The sequence below is a fragment of the Homo sapiens genome, chromosome 3 (assembly GCF_000001405.40).
Source record: "Homo sapiens chromosome 3, GRCh38.p14 Primary Assembly".
NCBI lineage: Eukaryota > Metazoa > Chordata > Mammalia > Primates > Hominidae > Homo > Homo sapiens.
The window spans coordinates 191261246-191280110 of record NC_000003.12 but is presented as its reverse complement, the minus strand read 5'-3'; the positions used below and the strand labels follow the sequence as shown (position 1 = coordinate 191280110).

Genomic DNA, 18865 nt, shown 5'->3' with positions numbered 1-18865 from the left:
CTTAAGATTCAGTATCTCGAGTAGCAATGAATCAACATTTTCTGTGTAATATTTGCAAAAACACTCTCTCGTATTGGAGCAGCTTTGCCATCTTTTGTGTCAAATGTGTGTCTACACTCAGATATTTTATATTCAAATATTTCCTTTATTAATATTAACTGTTCAAAGATAGAAACATTAAAAATATATGTGTTTTCTTTTAAAGCTATATCTGTTTTAAAACTAAGTATGAAAACAAGAAACAAAAGACTCATTTTCTATTGCTTTTTTTTAGCCAATATCTTACTTTAGAAATCAACTTTTTAAAATTCCTTGAGAAAAGTTTTTCTTCAGAGACTCCCATAAAAGAGGTTTTTTTCTTAAGAGATAGTGATAAGAAATTTCTGAGGACAAAGAGTTATGGAGGTATAATTATCGGAAGCAAAACTAATAAAGAAAGGCAAATCTATCAGTTTTGTTTTTTGAAAAATGTTTCACTTAACTATGCAGAGGAATGGATTGTGAATTAAGGGGAAAAAAGCTTTAGATCCATACTCTTCTAGTTACATTACTCTTAGTCATATACATTTTCTAAATTGAAGGTAATGGATCTGTTTCTCTTACCATAGTTGTCTTTCTGAAACAAGTAATTATTATCTGGCTCTGAAATATCCCTTCTTTTTTCAATGAAAACATTTTAAAGATTACAATTTAACATTTTTAATGAATGATTAAAATAAAAATTACATTATTTCATAATAATGTTTTTCTTTTAAACTAAACTATCTCTGAGAGTCTTTGTATAATTGATGCTGAGCAAAATTTGATATTCTGTTGGTATTTTAAATACTCAAAAGAAAATTTTACCAATAATTTTTATGTGTATGAAGCAAAGAAAATTGAAGAATTGAGCAACAATTAGGTATCTTTGGTTAATGTAGAAAACTGTGATCCTGTCACTTGCCCCAAATTATTCATTTTCTTCTTTTAATTAGCCATTTAAGTGTTTGAATTTATCAACTGACATTTTGTAGAGACAGGAAAGACAGGTAATTTTAAGAAATAGTCCAGTCAACTTATAAGCCATTTCTCTAGCTGAAACCACAGTACTCACTCCTAAACTTAAATCTCATTAATATTGCTTTTACTCACACTCTAACAGTTAATACAAAGAGGCAGGGAGAAGAAAAGATGATCTTACAGAAATTATGTGATAAAGGTTTGATTTTTCAGACCATCTCACTAAAGTTCATGGTAATATACTAATTATTATTTCAATTGAATTGTCAATGGATTTTTTTTGAATCTTCATGTTTTATAGCTTGCTAGAAGTCTCTTGTCTCAATTTCTACTCCAGAATGAAGATAATTACAGTACTGAGACATTTAGGGACCTGAGGAATGAATGGCTGTGAGGTAAATTGACAAAGATTAAAAGATGTTAATACGGAAGAGGTAGACACCATCCTAGCTTTGCCACAATCTTCCTTGGATGCTTTGAAGGAAATTCCCGGAACACAAACTGGCTTATATATATAAATGTGTATATAAATGTGTATATCAGATAAAATCACAAAATAGAATGCTATATTTTTATTTTGAAAACTACTTTTAGTTTATACTTATTTTAAATAAAATAGTAGAAAATTCCAGAAACACAGATTAAAAAGAAGAAAGTAAAATTCACCTCCAATTCTTCTACTCAGAAGTAATCACAGGTAAAACTTTAGGGTGCAACCTCCAGGTATATGCATATATTCTCTCTCTGTGTCTGTCTGACTGTCCATATTCATTCAATATATATTCAATAATTTCTTAAATTACCCATCCCTTCAGACTATACACTCTCTCTACATTTCTTTCGTTGTCAAATATACAAATTGATAGTAGCCTGTAAGACCAATTTAATTAGAAATATTTTCGGTGACTCAAATTGAAAATGGTGGTTTTTGATCATTATAGGAAATGAAATATTTCCAGATAAAAAATATACAAATCGTGAGGAACTATTGCTGGCTCTACTGAATAAAAATTTTGATTTCCAAAGACCTTTCAACACTGGTGAGTTAAACATAAAGTCAAGCTCTATTTATTAAAAAATAACAATTTATTTTGTCTTGAGACTTGCTTTTTCTAAATGTTAATTTATATTAAATGAAATAATTACTCTTTTATATGCTACACTAAAGATTTAAGTGATTTTTTTGTTTTATATTTATGTTAAATCCATGGAGTTATTAACAAATATTAATAGCCTATTTTGGTCAATTTGAGGGTCCTAATGGGATTGGTAAACATATAGTTAAAAAAAAAGGTTACCTTTATTCATATTTTCTTCTCATCTATGCAATTCTCCACTAGTACCACTAGTATTTTATTTTCTTAAATGTTTCAAAAGTATTATAGTTATAGGTTTCTTCTAGAAATTTCACAAATTAACTGCAGCTTTGTTGTAGTTAATTTAGCATTATTTTAATCAAATTCTTTCAATTTTAGGAAACAGTTGGAGTACAGATGATGAATGAAAAATTTAGGCTACACCAATTGAAATTATTTTTATTTGAAGAACAAGAGAATCTGACTTACAAATATCCATGAGATTGTCCTCCAAGAAATGACTGAGATTTTGTCAGAAATTTAACAAGTCTAGCTTAAGAGAAAATGTGACAATATGATACCGTGCTACTCTCCCATACAACATCTGAAGTAATCTAAACATGTCTGTATTCATAGAACAAAATGCTGGTTAAAAGAATAACTTAATAAATACTTTTAAAATTCAGGGTTTTTAAACTAAAAGTAATATATTCTTATTGAAAAATAAGTGAAATTTATAAAAACAAAAAATTTATACCCAAATTTTAAAACCTGGAGCAAGTTAGCCTTAGTATTTTGGAGAATTTTCTTCTCGATTGAATTATACATAGAATACATGGCTTGCTTCCCCCCGCCCACAACCCCATTTAATGTTGTTTTATGAGAATTTCCACATGCCAGCAAAAATAGTTTATTTCTAAATAATAGGTCATGCTAGAACTATGGTCTACGTTAGAAAAACTTTGTGCTAATTGTTGAAAATTACATATTTCAGATGACATAACTGATTGCATTTCAATACTATGGGCATTGAGAAATATACTGGAGGTTTTATATTAGGAATGGATGGGTGATGTCAAATCATATGAAAAAGACCTATGCTTTCTACGTAAGATCTTAAATGTGTGTACTGAAGCAAATTAAATATTACTTGCAATGTACGTTTTTTCATGTGACAAATGTGTCTTGCAGACCTAGCCTTACCTAACAAACTGGAAGAACTTAACCAGGTGAGAATGTGAAATACTTAAATGAGCAGTTTTAATAACAATTATAAGGAAATTTCTTCTTGACACAATGTTTTTTAAAATAAATTATTAATACTACAATGTAAAACTTTTATTCCTGCTAAACAAAGCGTGAAGCTGTTTTGTAGAAAAAGAAAAATCAAGTTATACTAACACAAAACAAAACAAAACTATGGCTGAAGTGATCATTCTTTATAATGTCTAGAAATCTGGATTCTAATTTTAGCTTTGCAATTACCAAACTGTGAAACCTGGGGCAAACAAATTCTCTAGACTGAAATCTCCTCATCTGTAGAATGGGAGGCTGTAAATAGATGGATGTTATTGTTTTTAAACAGTGGGAATCTTTTTTCCCCCAAATGTTATGTTTTCCCAGCAAATGAAACATGTAAAAGTCAAGCTGTTTGGCTTGAAGCAGCTGGTGTGAAGAGCCTAAAGTGCTGCCTTCTTGACGGGGACCCCTAGTAACACCCTTTTCTCCGTGCAATTCCATTATTCTGCAAACTGGCCCTTTGGGAGAGAGAACTATTCTCATCATTCTCTTCTGAGTAGCACCAACATGGAGATAAAGAGTGGTCCAGGCTGAACCCTACTTTTGTAGTTAGCTCTTCAGGGCCTAAGGCAATTAGTAACCTTATTAAAATTAAAAATTAAAATAAGTTGAATTCTGGATGGAAACCTTAAGGCCTCAAAATACTTTTTCCTTCCAGCTAGAAAAGACAAAAAATTCAGGAAATCCAAGTATTGACACAATAATTTGTAGCTCCTTGAAAAGACCTGCTCATTATAGGTGGCACAAAATGAAGTCCAAGTACACAGGCTGTATTTACATGTTCCCCATTAACACCCAGAGGTGACTTCCTTTGCCCAAAACCTGTTTCTTTCTGATCTTTTGTTGAGTCATGTACCTTTCCTAGTCAGCCCCTGAATGCATGCTCCCTGTTTTTCTTCTCTCTTTTTTGTTTTTTTCTTCCTTTGTTTCTATTTCCCCCTTTTTCTCTCTTCCTTTCTTTCATCCATTTTCTCTCTTTTTTTTTCTTTCTTTTTATCTTTCCTCTTCAACAGAGAGCAGCATGGTTTTTTTTTTGTTGTTTGTTTTTTGTTTTTTTGAGATGGAGTCTTGCTCTGTTGCCCTGGCAGAAGTACAGTGGTGCAATCTCGGCTCACTGCAGTCTCCACCTCCTGGGTTCACGCCATTCTCCTGCCTTAGCCTCCCGAGTAGCTGGGACTACAGGTGCCTGCTACCACGCCCAGCTAATTTTTTGTAGTTTTAGTAGAGGCGGAGTTTCACTGTGTTAGCCAGGATGGTCTTGATCGCCTGACCTCGTGACCTGCCTGCCTCGGCCTCCCGAAGTGCTGGGATTACAGGCATAAGCCACCGCGCCCGGTCAACAGCATGGTTTTATAGAAGACCAATTAATTATCATTTTACAATTTTATCAGCTGGAAAAGCTAAAAGAACAGCTAGTGGAGGAGAAGGATTCTGAGACGTCCTATGCTGTAGATGGTCTATTCTCTTCTCATCCTAGCAAACGAGGTAAGCTTTCATTTCAAGGTTTTAAGATTGACTTCCAAAAGATTATTTTTGCAGTAATTTCTGAGAGGAAGAAGATTCAGTTGGCATTTCTTAATCTTATGGTGGTGACCAATATAAAGGCTCATATTAAAAAAATATATTCCAATAAAAGTGTTACCATATAAATGTATTTGAGCTTTCTGGTGTTTACAACGGGGCAAGTTCACACTTCTCAGGTTTAAATAAAATAGGTCCTTATTGTATAAACTCTGGCTTACTCTTGCTATTTTGGCTTAAACACTGAAGCAGCAAAGACCACAAATAGAAATAATCCATTTTAAGTCAATTTAAAATTCCATAGAATCTATTCTGACATAAGGGGAAACTTCGTTGCTATAACACTTGTTCCAAGGTTCGATTCATAGCATTTAATTTTAGAAAGATTACTTTTTTGGATTATGCTTTTGGATAATTTTTCCTAGGAAATTATTGTTTCTTACTTTGTTTTTATTTTTGAAAAAAATGTATTCCTGTTTCTTTGTTCATGTAGTGATGAGAGATTTCCTAAGTCATATTTATTTTTACTTGTCCCCTATACCAGATTTGTCTTTAACTTCTGTAAAATCATATTTTAACAATATTATTGAGGGAAGAAGATGAACCAGTGTTAAGCCCTAAACATATACCAGACATTTTATATTTTAATGTCTCAAAATATAGTCATTAAGCATTCAGACTCTAGAGCTAGACTGCCTGGGTTCAAATTTTAACTTTGACTACCTACGCAACCTTGGAGAGTTATCTAATTTTCTCTGCCTCATTTTCTTTGCCTAAAAATGCGGATAATGATAATAATCTTCATGGGATTGTTGGGAGGAGTACATGAGTTAATTTAATTTAAAATAATTCCTAGTATGTAGTAAGTACTATGTAAGCTTAACTTAAAAAATTATTTTGATCATTATTACTACAATTATTTTCTACATGAATCCCATACAATAGCTATTAATATGACTTTTTTTATAGACGAGAAAACTGCATCTCAGAAGGGTTAAATTTAATGCTGAAAATAACCCAACTGCTAAGTGACTTAGCCAGTAAGGGTGAAGGATGAAGTGGCAGAAGATGAAGTGGAGGGTAGGAGGGAGGGAATTTAGTGGCTTTTTTTTTTTCTTTGAGACGGAGTTTCACTGCCCAGGCTGGAGTGCAATGGCACAATCTCGGCTCACTGCAACCTCTGTCTCTGGGGTTCAAGCAATTCTCCTGCCTCAGCCTCCCAAGTAGCTGGGATTACAGGCATGCACCATCACTCCCGGCTAAGTTTTGTATCTTTAGTGGAGATGGGTTTCACCATGTTGGTTAGGCTGGTCTGATTCTGGATATATTTCAAATAAAAGTCAACAAAATGTGCTGGAGAATTACACATGAAGTGTAAAAAATAGGCAGGTGTCAAAAATTACTCCAAGGATTTTGTTTTGAGCAACTAGGAACAAAGGACAGTTTCTGTTTATTGAGCCAAGGATAACTGGAGGAGAAGAAAGTACAAGAGAAAGGTTGAAATAGAGATTTGTTGGACCTTTCCTGAATCAGTATAGCTTAGGCTATTAGGTGTTAACAGTTGTAATCTAAATCTCAGAGGCATGGTGTAATAAAGTCGGGAATCGAGTCCAATGCTTGCAGCACAGCACAGCACCACTCTATTCTGTAGCCCTATCATCCAGAACGTTGATACAGCTTAACTGCCTCCAACATTGCCAAAACAGAAGAGGATAAAGGATACATCCCAGCTTTCAATTGCCTCAGTTCGGAAGGGACACACATCATTTCTACTGAAGTCCATTGGCCGGGATTAGTCACTGGGACTACCACCAACATATGGCAAGGCAGGTTGGTAAATGTAAGGAAGTACCTATAGTACTTGGTGAGCACTGCCTCTATCATAGTCTATCCTTTATCTCTTCTTAAAAACATAGACTATACTCAACTCATTCTCATTAGAGACAACCCCAAATCTCTTCTAGTGACTGCATGCAGCACAAATAACAGGCTTTCCAGGATATATTTACTAGTCTTCATCAGATATAATGTGGCCACTCCTTTTTTTTGAGACGGAGTCTCGCTCTGTAGCCCAGGCTGGAGTGCAGTGGTGCGATCTCGGCTCACTGCAACCTCTGCCTCCCAGGTTCCAGCTATTCACCTGCCTCAGCCTCCCGAGTAGATGGGACTACAGGTGGGCGCCACCAAGCCCAGCTAATTTTTTTGTATTTTTAGTAGAGATGGGGGTTTCATCATGTTGGCCAGGCTGGTTTCAAACTCCTGACCTCAGGTGATCCACCTGCCTTGAGCTCTCAAAGTGCTGGGATTACAGACATGAGGCACTGTGCCCTGCCCATTTTTTTTTTTTTTTTTTAGACGGAGTTTTGCTCTTGTTGCCTAGGCTGGAGTGCAATGGCACGCTACCTCGGCTCACTGCAACCTTCGCCTTTTGGGTTCAAGCTATTCTCCTGCCTCAGCCTCCCAAGTAGCTAGGATAACAGGCACGCACCACCACGCCCAGCTAATTTTTTGTATTTTCAGTAGAGACAGGTTTCACCATATTGGCCAGGCTGTTCTCGAACTCCTGACCTCAGGTGATCCACCCGCTTCTGCCTCCCAAAGTGCTGGGATTACAGGCATGAGCCACCATGCCCAGCCAAGCTACTCTTCATTCACAGACCTATTAACTGAAAAGATGAGTTATTATTCACCCCATACATATCCAACAATTAGCAAAGGAACAGGGAAAGGATAATCGCAATCAACAGCAAACTAAATATACTGCTTGCCAATTTACTCTTTTCCAGCCTTTCTTCTAGGAGCTCTAGGCACATGATCTGAATCCCAAGCTGTTGCAGATGCGAGTTTTAGCACTTATTTTGCCATTTAATAAAATAACTCTTAATTTTTCAAACCTATGATATCAGTTTCCTTGTCTGCCATTAATGAGTTGCTGATACTGTGTCAGATTTTAGGTATGTTTTACAGCAGCACCCTCACTTCACGTTATCAAACTGTATATTGGGATATGCTTAGCAAGCTGATAAAATAGCCTTTAAATCTCAGTGATGCAACTTTCTATAATTTTGACCGAGTTTACATGAGGTCTTACATATGTTGACCATTTTTCCTTCACTTCATGCATACACTATGTGGAACACGTGGTCTCCAATGTACCTATAGTAGGATAGGAAAGAGATGAAGCAGGTAAATATGCTTTTAACTGCCAGAGCTATGCACATGATCCCAATTTAACTTAATGGGGATGTGGGATCCCTAGGAAATACAGAGAAGTCTTAGGAATAGCTGAAGAGTTGTATTCCTACCACATATTTTGGGTTTGTTATGCCATATTTAATAAATCTTCCAGGAGTAAATTGAGTAGAAGATTAGATGTATGAATCTGAAGTTAGTGAATATGAATCTTATATCTTCAGTCAGCCCAGATTAGAGATATACATTTGGCAGTTATCAGCATTATAAATATTGTTTGGCATTGTGACGAGAGCATCTAAGGAGTGACTCCAAATATAAGGAAAAGATACCTAAAAACTGAGACTCAGATCATTCCAAGGGAAGAAACTGAGCAGATGAGGCAGAGTCAACAAAAGAGGCTGAGTAGGAGTAGGTACAAAGAAGGAGGCAAGAAAGCAACACCCACAAGTCAAGTAAAAAAACTGTTTCTGGGAAAAAGGAGTTTAAGTCTATCCAAAGCTATTGTTACCAAAACACCAGGGGTTCAGTCTAGGTCCTACAGCTCACTGCACAGAAAGCTGATCACTGAGACAAGTATTGCCAAGGAAGAAGGCTTTAATTGGGTGCTGCAGCTGAGGAGATGGAAGCTCAGTCTCAAATCCATCTCTCTAACTCACTAAAACTAGGGTTAATATAGCAGGGAAGAAATGTAACTACGTGTGAGAAAGGCAAGGAAGCAATCATAATGAATGAGTGGTCCAATATCTCATTGTCTGGATGGGGTGATCTGGTGAGTTTCAGTTCTTTGATACCTCTTTTTTTTTTTTTTTTTTTTTTTTTTGAGAGAGTCTCACTCTGTCACCAGGCTGGAGTGCAGTGGTGTGATCTCTGCTCACTGCAACCTCTGCCTCCCGTGTTCAAGCGATTCTTCTGCCTCAGCCACCCAAGTAGCTGGGACTACAGGCATGTGGCCACCACCCTCAGCTAATTTTTGTATTTTTAGTAGAGACAGGATTTCACCATGTTGGTCAGAATGGTCTCGATCTCCTGACCTCATGTCTGCCAGCCTCGTCCTCCCAAAGTGCTGGGATTACAGGCATGAGCCACCACAACTGGCCCTTTGACAGTTTTTTTTGGGAGGCCTAAAGGTCATTTCCTGAGGAAGAAACTCACCTAAAACAAATACAAGCTTTAAGCTTTAACAGCAGAAGGGTCAATTTCTGATTATCCAAAAACAACTCTCTATGGGTCTATGGGGCTGATTTCACTATGATAGATCCAGTAAAATGAGGACTGAGAACTTCCAGTTGAATTCAGCAGAGGAAAGGTCATTAATGGCCTTGCCAAGGATTGTTTGGTGAACTTTTTGTTAAAGAAAACATGACTATAGAACTGGAACCACTGACAATAGAAAATTCTCTTAAAGAATTTTGTGCTAAGGAATAGAAAAAAAATTGGTATATCAGCTAGAATGATTTGAAAGCATAAAAAAAAAACCTTTTTTGTTTATTTTTAAGAAAGTAGATATTACAACATGTTTGTAGGTCAGGTACCAGTGGCTCACACCTGCAATCCCACTACTTTGGGAGGCCAAGGCAGGAGAATCACTTGTGCCCAATCGTCTGAGACCAGCCTGGCCAATATAGGGAGGCTGTGTCTCTACAACAAATTTAAAAAATTAGCCTGGTGTGGTGACCCATGCTAGTAGTCCCAAGTACTCATGAGATTGAGACTGGAGGGTCCCTTGAGCCAAGGAGTTCGAGGTTGCAGTGAGCTATGGTTGTGCCACTGCACTCCAGCTTCGGTGACAAAGCTGAACATAATCCACGTTATACATGAAGTGCAGTGCTGTTGCCATAACTAGAGACTAACCACTGTGAATAACAATATATGAGGATGAAATAGACCCAGAAATCCAGCTTAAGACAGTAAAAACTTACGCTTACTGTGAAATATTGTACCTTTCTTTAATCTTTTAATATATTGTTGATAGACATCTGCTACAAATATAGCTGTCCAACTCCTAGCATCATGCTAAAAACGGAGAATACAAGAGTTAACAAGACAGCCATTAAGTGACACCAGAAAGCTGGTTGGGGTTTTACTTTATGTAAATGATGAATGGTGTACGCTATAAACATTGGGGAATTGGCTCTGCCACCAGTATGACTCATGACAGTTCCCTTTGACCACATCCAAAAAATTCTCCAAACTATATTCCATTGTATATTTAATTGAGCTGTTCATGTGGTATAAGTCTTGGCTAAGTGTAAGTTTATATTCTTCTGCCAGACTCAGATATTCAAAGACATCTGAAAAGACAGAGAGGTCAGTGATGATAACTTTCCAAAGCATACTATAAAAAGAAGATTGGCCAGGCATGGTGGCATGCACCTGTAGTCCCAGCTACTCAGGAGGCTGAGGTTAGAGAATCACTTGAAGCTGTAGCACTCTATGATCATGCCTGTGAATAGCCACTGTGGTCCAGGCTGGGGAATATAGTGAGAAGCCTCATCTTTTAAAAAGAAAAAAAAAAAAAACCTGAAAAAAAAGAAGAAGGTGAGATTAGTGGGTGAAGCGCCTCACTTCAATGTCTGAAAATAGACTTCTGCTTTCGCAGGGTTTGAATGTGGCTTCTAAGGGAAACTGTGGCTCTTGAAGAAATGAAAAATAGGCTCTGAGTGATATCATAAAACTCTGTTTATATGTGGTGATAAGCACAGGGGCTACGGTGTATTTGGGGAGGAAAACCTGGGCAAGCACATAGAAATTTATCATTCATTTCAATGAGGGATTATATGTTTTTCAACTCTTTTTCACTGTAAATACCACTGATCAACAATGAATCAAAGGCCCTTCTCCCAAGGGGCTTAGTTTTATAAGCTAGTTAAATAAAAGGAAATTAGAGAAACTGATAATTAGCTAGATGCAACTACTGTAAGTCAGGTGATTGGTAACAACCTACAGAAGATTTAAAATGATTCATTTATATATTTGAAGATTGAAATGCTAATATATTTGGTTTGATTTCTCTGAAGAATCATTTTATGATCAGAATGGGAGGACTAAATGTGATGACAAATGAAGTTATTTAAATATCATTTTGTGGTCTGCAAAGTGACCTTTAAACTGTCTTCCTTCCTCTTCACTCAACAGATAGATTCTCATTAGCACTGCTTTTTTACTTATGTGACTTTCTTTTTGGTATATCAGTTACCTCAAGTGTAAAATAGAGGGATGAATCTCATAGGGCAGTCTATTGAATTCTCTAGACTGTATTATATGTATTATAATTTATAACAGTGTTGTCCAATAGAATTTTCTGTGATGGGAACATTCTCTAGTTTGTACTGTCCATTGTGGTAGTCACTGGCTACAAGTGCTATTGAGCAGTTGAAATGTGACTAGTATGATGGAGATGCTGAATTTTTAATTTAATTGTGATTAACTTAAAGATCCACATGAGGCTAGTAGCTACAATATTGACTGTCCCTTTTAAAAACTTAACTCTCGCATTCAGGCACACATAAGCTATTGATTCAAGAGCAAGTTTTATCAAATATACTTCTAATAAAAAATGTATTTTGTTTTCTTCTTTAGCTTGCTTTTGGAAATACTGTGTTTAAAGCTTTTTCTCTGGATGCAAAAAAAGATAAGAATATCAGGAAAATATATGTATCTACTCACTCTGCTGTAGGCAGACCCCCTGAAACTATTGCTGTGGAATAAAAGATGAAATGCTCCTGATTATTGTAAATACAAAATTGCATGCGGGATTGTGTAAAGACAATGCCAGGTTGGACTGCCAGAATGAGCCAACAGCACTTGCTTCCCCCTGTAGAGAGCCTATGAATGGACGTGCAGTCAGGGAGGTTTCATATCACCAAGATTCCTATCCCAGAAAAGCAGATGTTCATAGCTCTGGGAATGGAATGCGCCCCTCGTGGAGAGCCTATAAACGGATGCATGGAAGGCGCCTGTCCATATGGATAAGATAGGGTTGTAAACGTCCTCATCTTGCCATGGCTCTTCTAGGCCTCTTTAGGGTTAAGGCATATTTCCTTCTGAGAATTTCTGGTCTAAGCGGTTGTCTAGCTTCATGTCCTGTTTCCATGGATTGTTTGTAACCAGCTTTTGTTACAATTGTTACTGCTGATTAATATCTTGCTAATCATAGGTTATGGAAAGATTGTGTTTCTGTTTTAAGGCTCTGTTAGAAATTACACACACAGTATATTGTAAATTCTTATCTCTGTATACTGTACTTCTACATACAAATGTACTGTACTTCTACATACAAATGTTATGTTAAAGAATTACTTCATCCCCATGTGACCATCTCACCTCATAATCAAATGACCCTAAATCCCTCATTAACCTACCCCTGCCCTTGCTAAACTTAATAATAAATGCTGGTATATCCAGTGCATTGTTGGCACCATGGGACCAGAAGGTGGTGACCCCCCTGGACCCAGCTTTCACTATCTTGTGTGTGTCTGTTATTTCTCAACCTGCTGATCCGCCTGGGAACAAAGAGCCCCGTTGCATTGCGGGCTACTGGCCAGATCCCGCAATACTCTGCTATTTAAAATTGTAGCTGTTTCAATCATAAAGAAACTGGCATTTATTATGCATATGATTTTTTCACCTTGTTCTTGTTACTAAGTCAATTATGATAAGCTTAAGGTTTATGTTGTGAATAATCACTAATCAGTTGCACTTTTGAAGGTATGTCACTATCAAAATGGTTTTGTAGAGCTAGAGTTGAAAATGCTGTATCTATTGTATGCTTTCCATAAATTCATTGCTTATGTAAAGTTTTGTCCTGTTGTGACTATGCTGTTGAACTATTAATTAAAACATTTTGAAAAGCATCTTGGAAAGTTATATTGTCTCAAGTTACATGGAAAATATGCATTATTGTTCTTTCTCATTTTTATGATTGTATTGGCCACCTCTCTTTTCTATTAATTTGAACAATGGTAATTGAGACTACTCCAACAAATGGATACATTACTAAGCAGAAACAGATTTATTAAACTCTGGGGAAAAAGTACTAGATGCCTTAAAGATAGAATGTTAAGAAAACTTTCTTAAAAAAATGATTTGCCTTTTGTTTTCTTAATTCTCATGTCTGCCTCCTCCACAACATGAGAAACTATTTGAGACCCTCAGCATTCTTGTAAGAGTTTAGACACAGTGTGGTTAAAGACAACAACAACAAAAACCCCAAAAACTCATTGGCTTTCTCTTGATTAGCTTTTGTTTCACATCTATACATCAAACTGCCCTTGCTTACATCTAAACAAATTTATTTAGTCAATTAAAATTTGGAAGTTCAACCTCAATTTTGTTTACAATCTGTGCTGGCACAGATATATTGCCAAAGTAACTTTACAATGAAAGAATATTAATGGCTAGCTTACTCTGTGATAGCTGACCAAATCAATCTACATACCACCCTTTACTATATGGGGAGGAGAAGATACAGTTTAATCTACATAAAATTGTTGGTGCTTAAGATAAAGCTGTCTTATAAGATAAAATGAATAATATTGCTTAAACTATTAAAAAAAATTAAGGGTCCAGGCACGGTGGCTCATGCCTGTAATCCCAACACCTTGGGAGGCCGAGGCAGATCACCTGAGGTCAGGAGTTCGAGACCAGCCTGACCAACATGGAGAAACCCTGTCTCTGCTAAAAATACAAAATTAGCTGGGTGTGGTGGCACATGCCTGTAATTCCAGCTACTCGGGAGGTTGAGGCAGGAGAATCACTTGAACCTAGGAGGCGGAGGTTGCAGTGAGCTGAGATCACGCCATTGCACTCCAGCCTGGCGACAAGAGCTAAACTCTCTCAAAAACATAAATAAAATTAAAAAAAAAAAAAATAATAAAGGCCAGGCCCAGAGGCTCACACCTGTAATCCCACCACTTTGGAATGCTGAGGTGGCGGTGGAGGGGATCAGGCTTAAGCCCGGGAGTTTTGAGACCAGCCTGGGTAACATGGTGAAACCCCATTTCTACAAAAAATACAAAGATTAGTCAGGAGTCGTAGCATGTGTCTGCAGTCCCAGCTACCTGGGAGGCTGAGGTGGGAGGATTGCTTGACCCAGGGAGATCAAGGCTTCAGTGAGCTGTGATTGCACCACTGCACTCCAGCCTGGAGCTAGACCATGTCTCAAACAAACAACAAATAAAAAACCCCAAACCCCCAAAACAGAAATGAAACAAACAAGTAAACTATTAAAACAAATTTAAACCTACAATAAAATAGACCAAGTTGAGCAATATGCCTGTAATGCTAAGGAATAACTCAAATGTATGTAAATAAATATTAGTTGCATGGTAATGCCCGAAGATGTTCTCATGTATTTACAACAGTTATGAACGCAAATGTGTTATAATAAATAAAGATTAAAACTGCTTTCATCATCCCTTGTTTATTAACTTTGGAAAAGTTGAACCATATTCAAGCATCTTGAGCCTTTAGGTATAAGGGGTAATATCATTCAGAAAGCTTTTTATACTTTTTCCTTTTAGAAGATTCCATTAAGTTATTTTTTCATAATTTGGTTTAAGAAACTTAATTCCCTAAAGCTATGAACAGGTTAAAGGTACAACTTGACAGACATTTTTTAGTGTGTGTAAATTTTAGGACAACATAGCCAGTAACTAACATCCTTTTATGAAATTTGATTATGTAATTGACACTAGAACCCAGAACTCCATATACATATATTCATTTGCTCTATAAAGGTTCATACAGAAGCAAAGAGAAAAAAGTAATGCATTATTTTGAAACAAAACAAAAAAGTCCCTTCAAGTTGAAATATAGTTGGATTAGTAATACCTAATGCATTGGATAAATAAGTGAGATGACTTGTCATATTCTTAACAAAAATTCTGTCTTAATTTACTGCTATGTTAAAAGAATAGCCCCATTATTTAGTATATTGCTGACTTATTTTCTACTCTGAATGAAGTAGTGGTAAAAATTAAAATATGAAATAAAATAGAGTTATAAGTGGAGAAAACATTTTCTTCCCTTCATGGAAATTGTGTGTATATTAGGTGAAAATACATTACACATGAAACTATAGCATAAATCACTATATTGTGACTTCTTATTTTAATTAAGTTGGATGTCATAGTCTAATTTTGAATTAAAAAATAAAGAATGGAGGAAATCAATTTGCATAATCCAACTTCCAATATTTACCATGAGAAAGTTTTAGGCTAAAGTAGGTTTTAATACCTTTTGTCAAAGCATGAAGCAGAACCCAATTGGATTAGAAGCTTACAAATACCCAAATGTGCATACAAGGAAAGAAAGAGCTTCTAAGCAATAGGAAACATTTCTATAGTTCATCACAAGGTTGGGGAAAGGCAGACAAGGATATCACAACTTCTTAAATAATTCTTTCAACTCCTGAGTCCTCCAGGATACTTCCCTATGTGCTATTGCTAGCTTTCTAACACAAGTTTATGAAAAAAAGAATTGGTTAGATTTCCCAAAATTCACTTCTCTTGGCTACAGCCCTCTACTACAATGAAAAAAAATTATTTACTATTTTTCCTAAATTAATTTTGAAGACTTTCAATTTTAAAAATATCCAGAAAAACTAAGAAGTTACATACAAAACCAATATATATATTCTAAGTACACATGTTCATTTCTTTCACCTCTTTTTGCCTCTTTTAAACTTTATCTTTAAAAAGCACATTGGATAACTGAAAAATTAGTCCTTCATAAAGGTCAATTTCTTAGTTTAACTCTTTTTCTAATATATTTTTGTTATGTTTCTTTGAGTTTATTTTATTCTTTGGATCATACAAGTCCATTAATTTTTAGTTAAGATTAGCAATTGCCCATTTCTCTCCTCTTCCTTTAAAATTAAGACACCTTCTCACAACTCACAACACTCTCTTTTTATGCTGAAATAAGCCTTTGCTCTACTGGACAAAACTTTTTTCCTCCCACGTATCAGACAGTGATTTTTAGGGTTTACAGAGGAAGTGTTTTTCGATGCTTTATAAACTTCTGCTAAGTAACTTATGATGAATCTCTGTTCCATAGAAAGTTTTTTTTGTGTGTTTTCAAAGTATATCCAATGCACAATGGACCTATGTGTCCAAGCTACAGTAACATCATAGTTATTACTGAGAACTGAGTTTTCTACAATACGAAAACTTATGTTTTAATAAGTCATTCAAAAATAATCTGAATGATTTTTAAGAAATCATTCTCAAAATCATTATGCTCTTCAATTGGCTTACTAAGGATAATAAGACAATTGAAGCCAAAGAAGCCAATATGTGAAACACAGTAAACAGTTTCTTAGATTAATCCAAGATATCAAAAAGATCACATTGTACTATGCTGAAGTGTACTGAGCTAAAATGATGTGTGCTTAGCTGGTCCTAACCTGTTCTGGTGGTAATTCTTTGACTTCCCTCCTACTTTCATTTTTACCTCTGTGTGAGCTTACTCCCCTCCTAATGAGACACTACTGCTCTTAACTGTCAGAATTTAGAAAAATGGAAAGTTTTTAGGGGACAAGTGATATCTAAGTTTGACAAATGAGTAATGTCCTTCACTTTCTTAATTCTAAGTCAATAGGCTCATTGGGGCTGTGTTTTATTTTTCTGAACATGACTGAAACTTGAATATGAAAAGAGAAGCCTAATTTCATAATTATTACCGATCAGACTCTTGGAAAAATGGAATACAGGGAAGTGAAAGTACTCAACAGAAAATACACAGCATTGCCTTTCCTCATTCCCCAATAATGGACAGATTATAACTAAATTTTACAGAAGCAAATCTGTCTTTTGTTATTATTCTTTGACTACAAACATGTGCATGGTAAATCCATACAGAAGGCATTTCACTGTATTGTGTATTTAATTATTATTTTTAAAAGTAAGGTTTAAGGGGAAGTTAACCATTCTTGAATAATTAAAATATATAATTTTAAAATGTACGTGCATCAAAATGATTTACACAATTTAATTGAAGCTGTAACAATGCTGTAATGTGATGGACTGAAGTTCAAGCTTTGGAAAGGATTTGCAGAAGGTCAGTTCCTTAAAAGTTTAATCATTAAGAAGTGTGAATAACTTCAGTGAAGCATCTTCCATATTGCTGTGACATTTCACCCAAGGAAGTTGCATCTGCAAAAACGAAAGTTGAGATTGTTAAAGCTAATGAGAACTCTGTAGATCAGGTGGAAGTCCATCAACTTCACTTGAGAAGAGTTAAGTCTTTAATTACATGCTGTTTCATTATAGCCTTTATTTACATGGCAATTTTTTATTTTGAAGACAATAATGCAAAATAACAATTTCAGTTCAAAATACATTAAAAAGAATATTTTAAACATATAAGCTAGGTGCGTATGCTCAAGTTTTAATAAAAATTATAAAAAGTCTTTTTCACAGCTCCTTTCCTCAAGTACCAACTATATTCTATTTTGCTTGAGTTTTTAATCTTTGTTCAAAGGATACTGCCGTGACAAACAAAAGAAGGACAAAGAAAACCTGAATACTACTTTCTGTTTATTATAACACATTGAAAGTTGTATATTTTGCACATTCTACCAAGAATCCAACCATATACTGCCATTTAAACAAGATTTCTGCTGTATTTGAGTTATATTAATTTATTTGAATGATGGTATGTCAATATATGTCAATATAAATCTAAAATAAAAATTTTCAGTATAATTCAGCAACATGTGTCTCACATTAGTGGAAGAAAAGTCTCAATGGATGTGCCAGCAAGTGGTAGCACAATTAATGGTCACGTTTCTTTTCTTTTTTCTTTTTTGAGATGGAGTTTGCCCAGGCTGGAGTGCAATGGTGCGCGACCTCAGCTCACTGCAGCCTCCGCCTTCCGGGTTCAAGCGATTCTCCTGTCTCAGTCTCCCGAGTAGCTGGGATTATAGGCCCATGCTACCATGCCAGGCTAAATTTTTGTATTTTTAGTAGAGATGAGGTTTCACCATGTTCGCCGGGCGGGTCTCAAACTCCTGACCTCAGGTGATCCACCCGCCTCGGTCTCCCAAAGTGCTGGGATTACAGGCATGAGCCACCGCACCCGGCCAATAGTCACATTTCTAATTTTATCAGGTTGACATTCTGATTTCAATGGCACAGACCTAGAACTTGCTAATTTCATCTAGAAAAGCTAGGAACATTTAGACAAAATACTTCTTTGAATTTGAGTTGCTTAGAGCTAAAGCCTACTAAAAACTCAAAACTTTGGTACAATATATTAATGATTTCAGAAAGCCATTGCATAAATAGCAAATTATCGTCCTTTCAAAAATACGTATCAGGGAAGAAATTAGTGTTTGGTCTGGTAACTAGTGATGGAAATCAAAATATTTTACCCAAAATATACTTCCTTGACATATTTTGAAGTGGCTCCATAAAGCTGTTTTTTTGTGGGGGGATTTGCATTCATGCAGCCAGCCCTCCTCTTGTCTAGATCTAGGGAAGATTAACTGAGAGTCTAATGCTTTCAGAGGTCTGAAAAGAAACATTTGCCATCTATTCTCTCTGAGGGCTGCTGGGTTTTATCTACATAACAAGACTACCTTTGCTAGCCAAGCCTCTTTCTCTCTCCCATAACCTCTCTTGTCACTAAAACCTGTTTTTGGCCATGCTCTGAGCCTGCATTCTTTCTGTAACCTCAAGATAATATACAATTTTTTGAACACCATTAGTAGATTGGGTCCTTCATTCTGAAGGCTCCCCTGTATACACATTAAATAAATTTGTATCCTCTTC

At 35.8% G+C, this 18865-nt stretch overlaps 2 protein-coding genes across 6 annotated transcripts in view, besides 1 other annotated feature; one reads left to right on the top strand and one right to left on the bottom strand.

The window, feature by feature from the left end:
* The window catches only part of UTS2B (urotensin 2B), a 79015-nt gene extending 66072 nt beyond the window's left edge, over positions 1–12943 (top strand). For 3 of the 4 annotated variants that reach the window (XM_047447899.1, NM_198152.5, XM_011512631.3), the window contains 4 exons: positions 1941–2039; positions 3267–3304; positions 4766–4859; positions 11670–12943. In XM_047447899.1, coding sequence (XP_047303855.1) covers positions 1941–2039; positions 3267–3304; positions 4766–4859; positions 11670–11695 — 257 coding nt within the window. In that variant the 3' untranslated portion in view covers positions 11696–12943. Of the gene's footprint in view, positions 1–1940; positions 2040–3266; positions 3305–4765; positions 4860–6546; positions 6981–11669 lie in introns of those variants that run through there. The other variant, XM_017006091.2, reaches the window with a different exon arrangement.
* Positions 10719–10828: an enhancer, noted in NCBI's record as "active region_20988". NCBI's record gives its function as "activates an Ori minimal core promoter by ATAC-STARR-seq in GM12878 lymphoblastoid cells {active_cell/tissue: GM12878}" and the evidence as "EXISTENCE:reporter gene assay evidence [ECO:0000049][PMID:35858748]".
* A 1552-nt stretch (positions 12944–14495) lies between the features above and the next one.
* Positions 14496–18865, bottom strand: part of OSTN (osteocrin) — a 66375-nt gene continuing 62005 nt past the window's right edge. For both annotated transcript variants that reach the window (NM_198184.2, XM_017006303.3), the window contains exon 5: positions 14496–17245. The gene's annotated coding sequence lies outside the window, so the exon portion shown is untranslated. The remainder of the gene's footprint in view (positions 17246–18865) is intronic.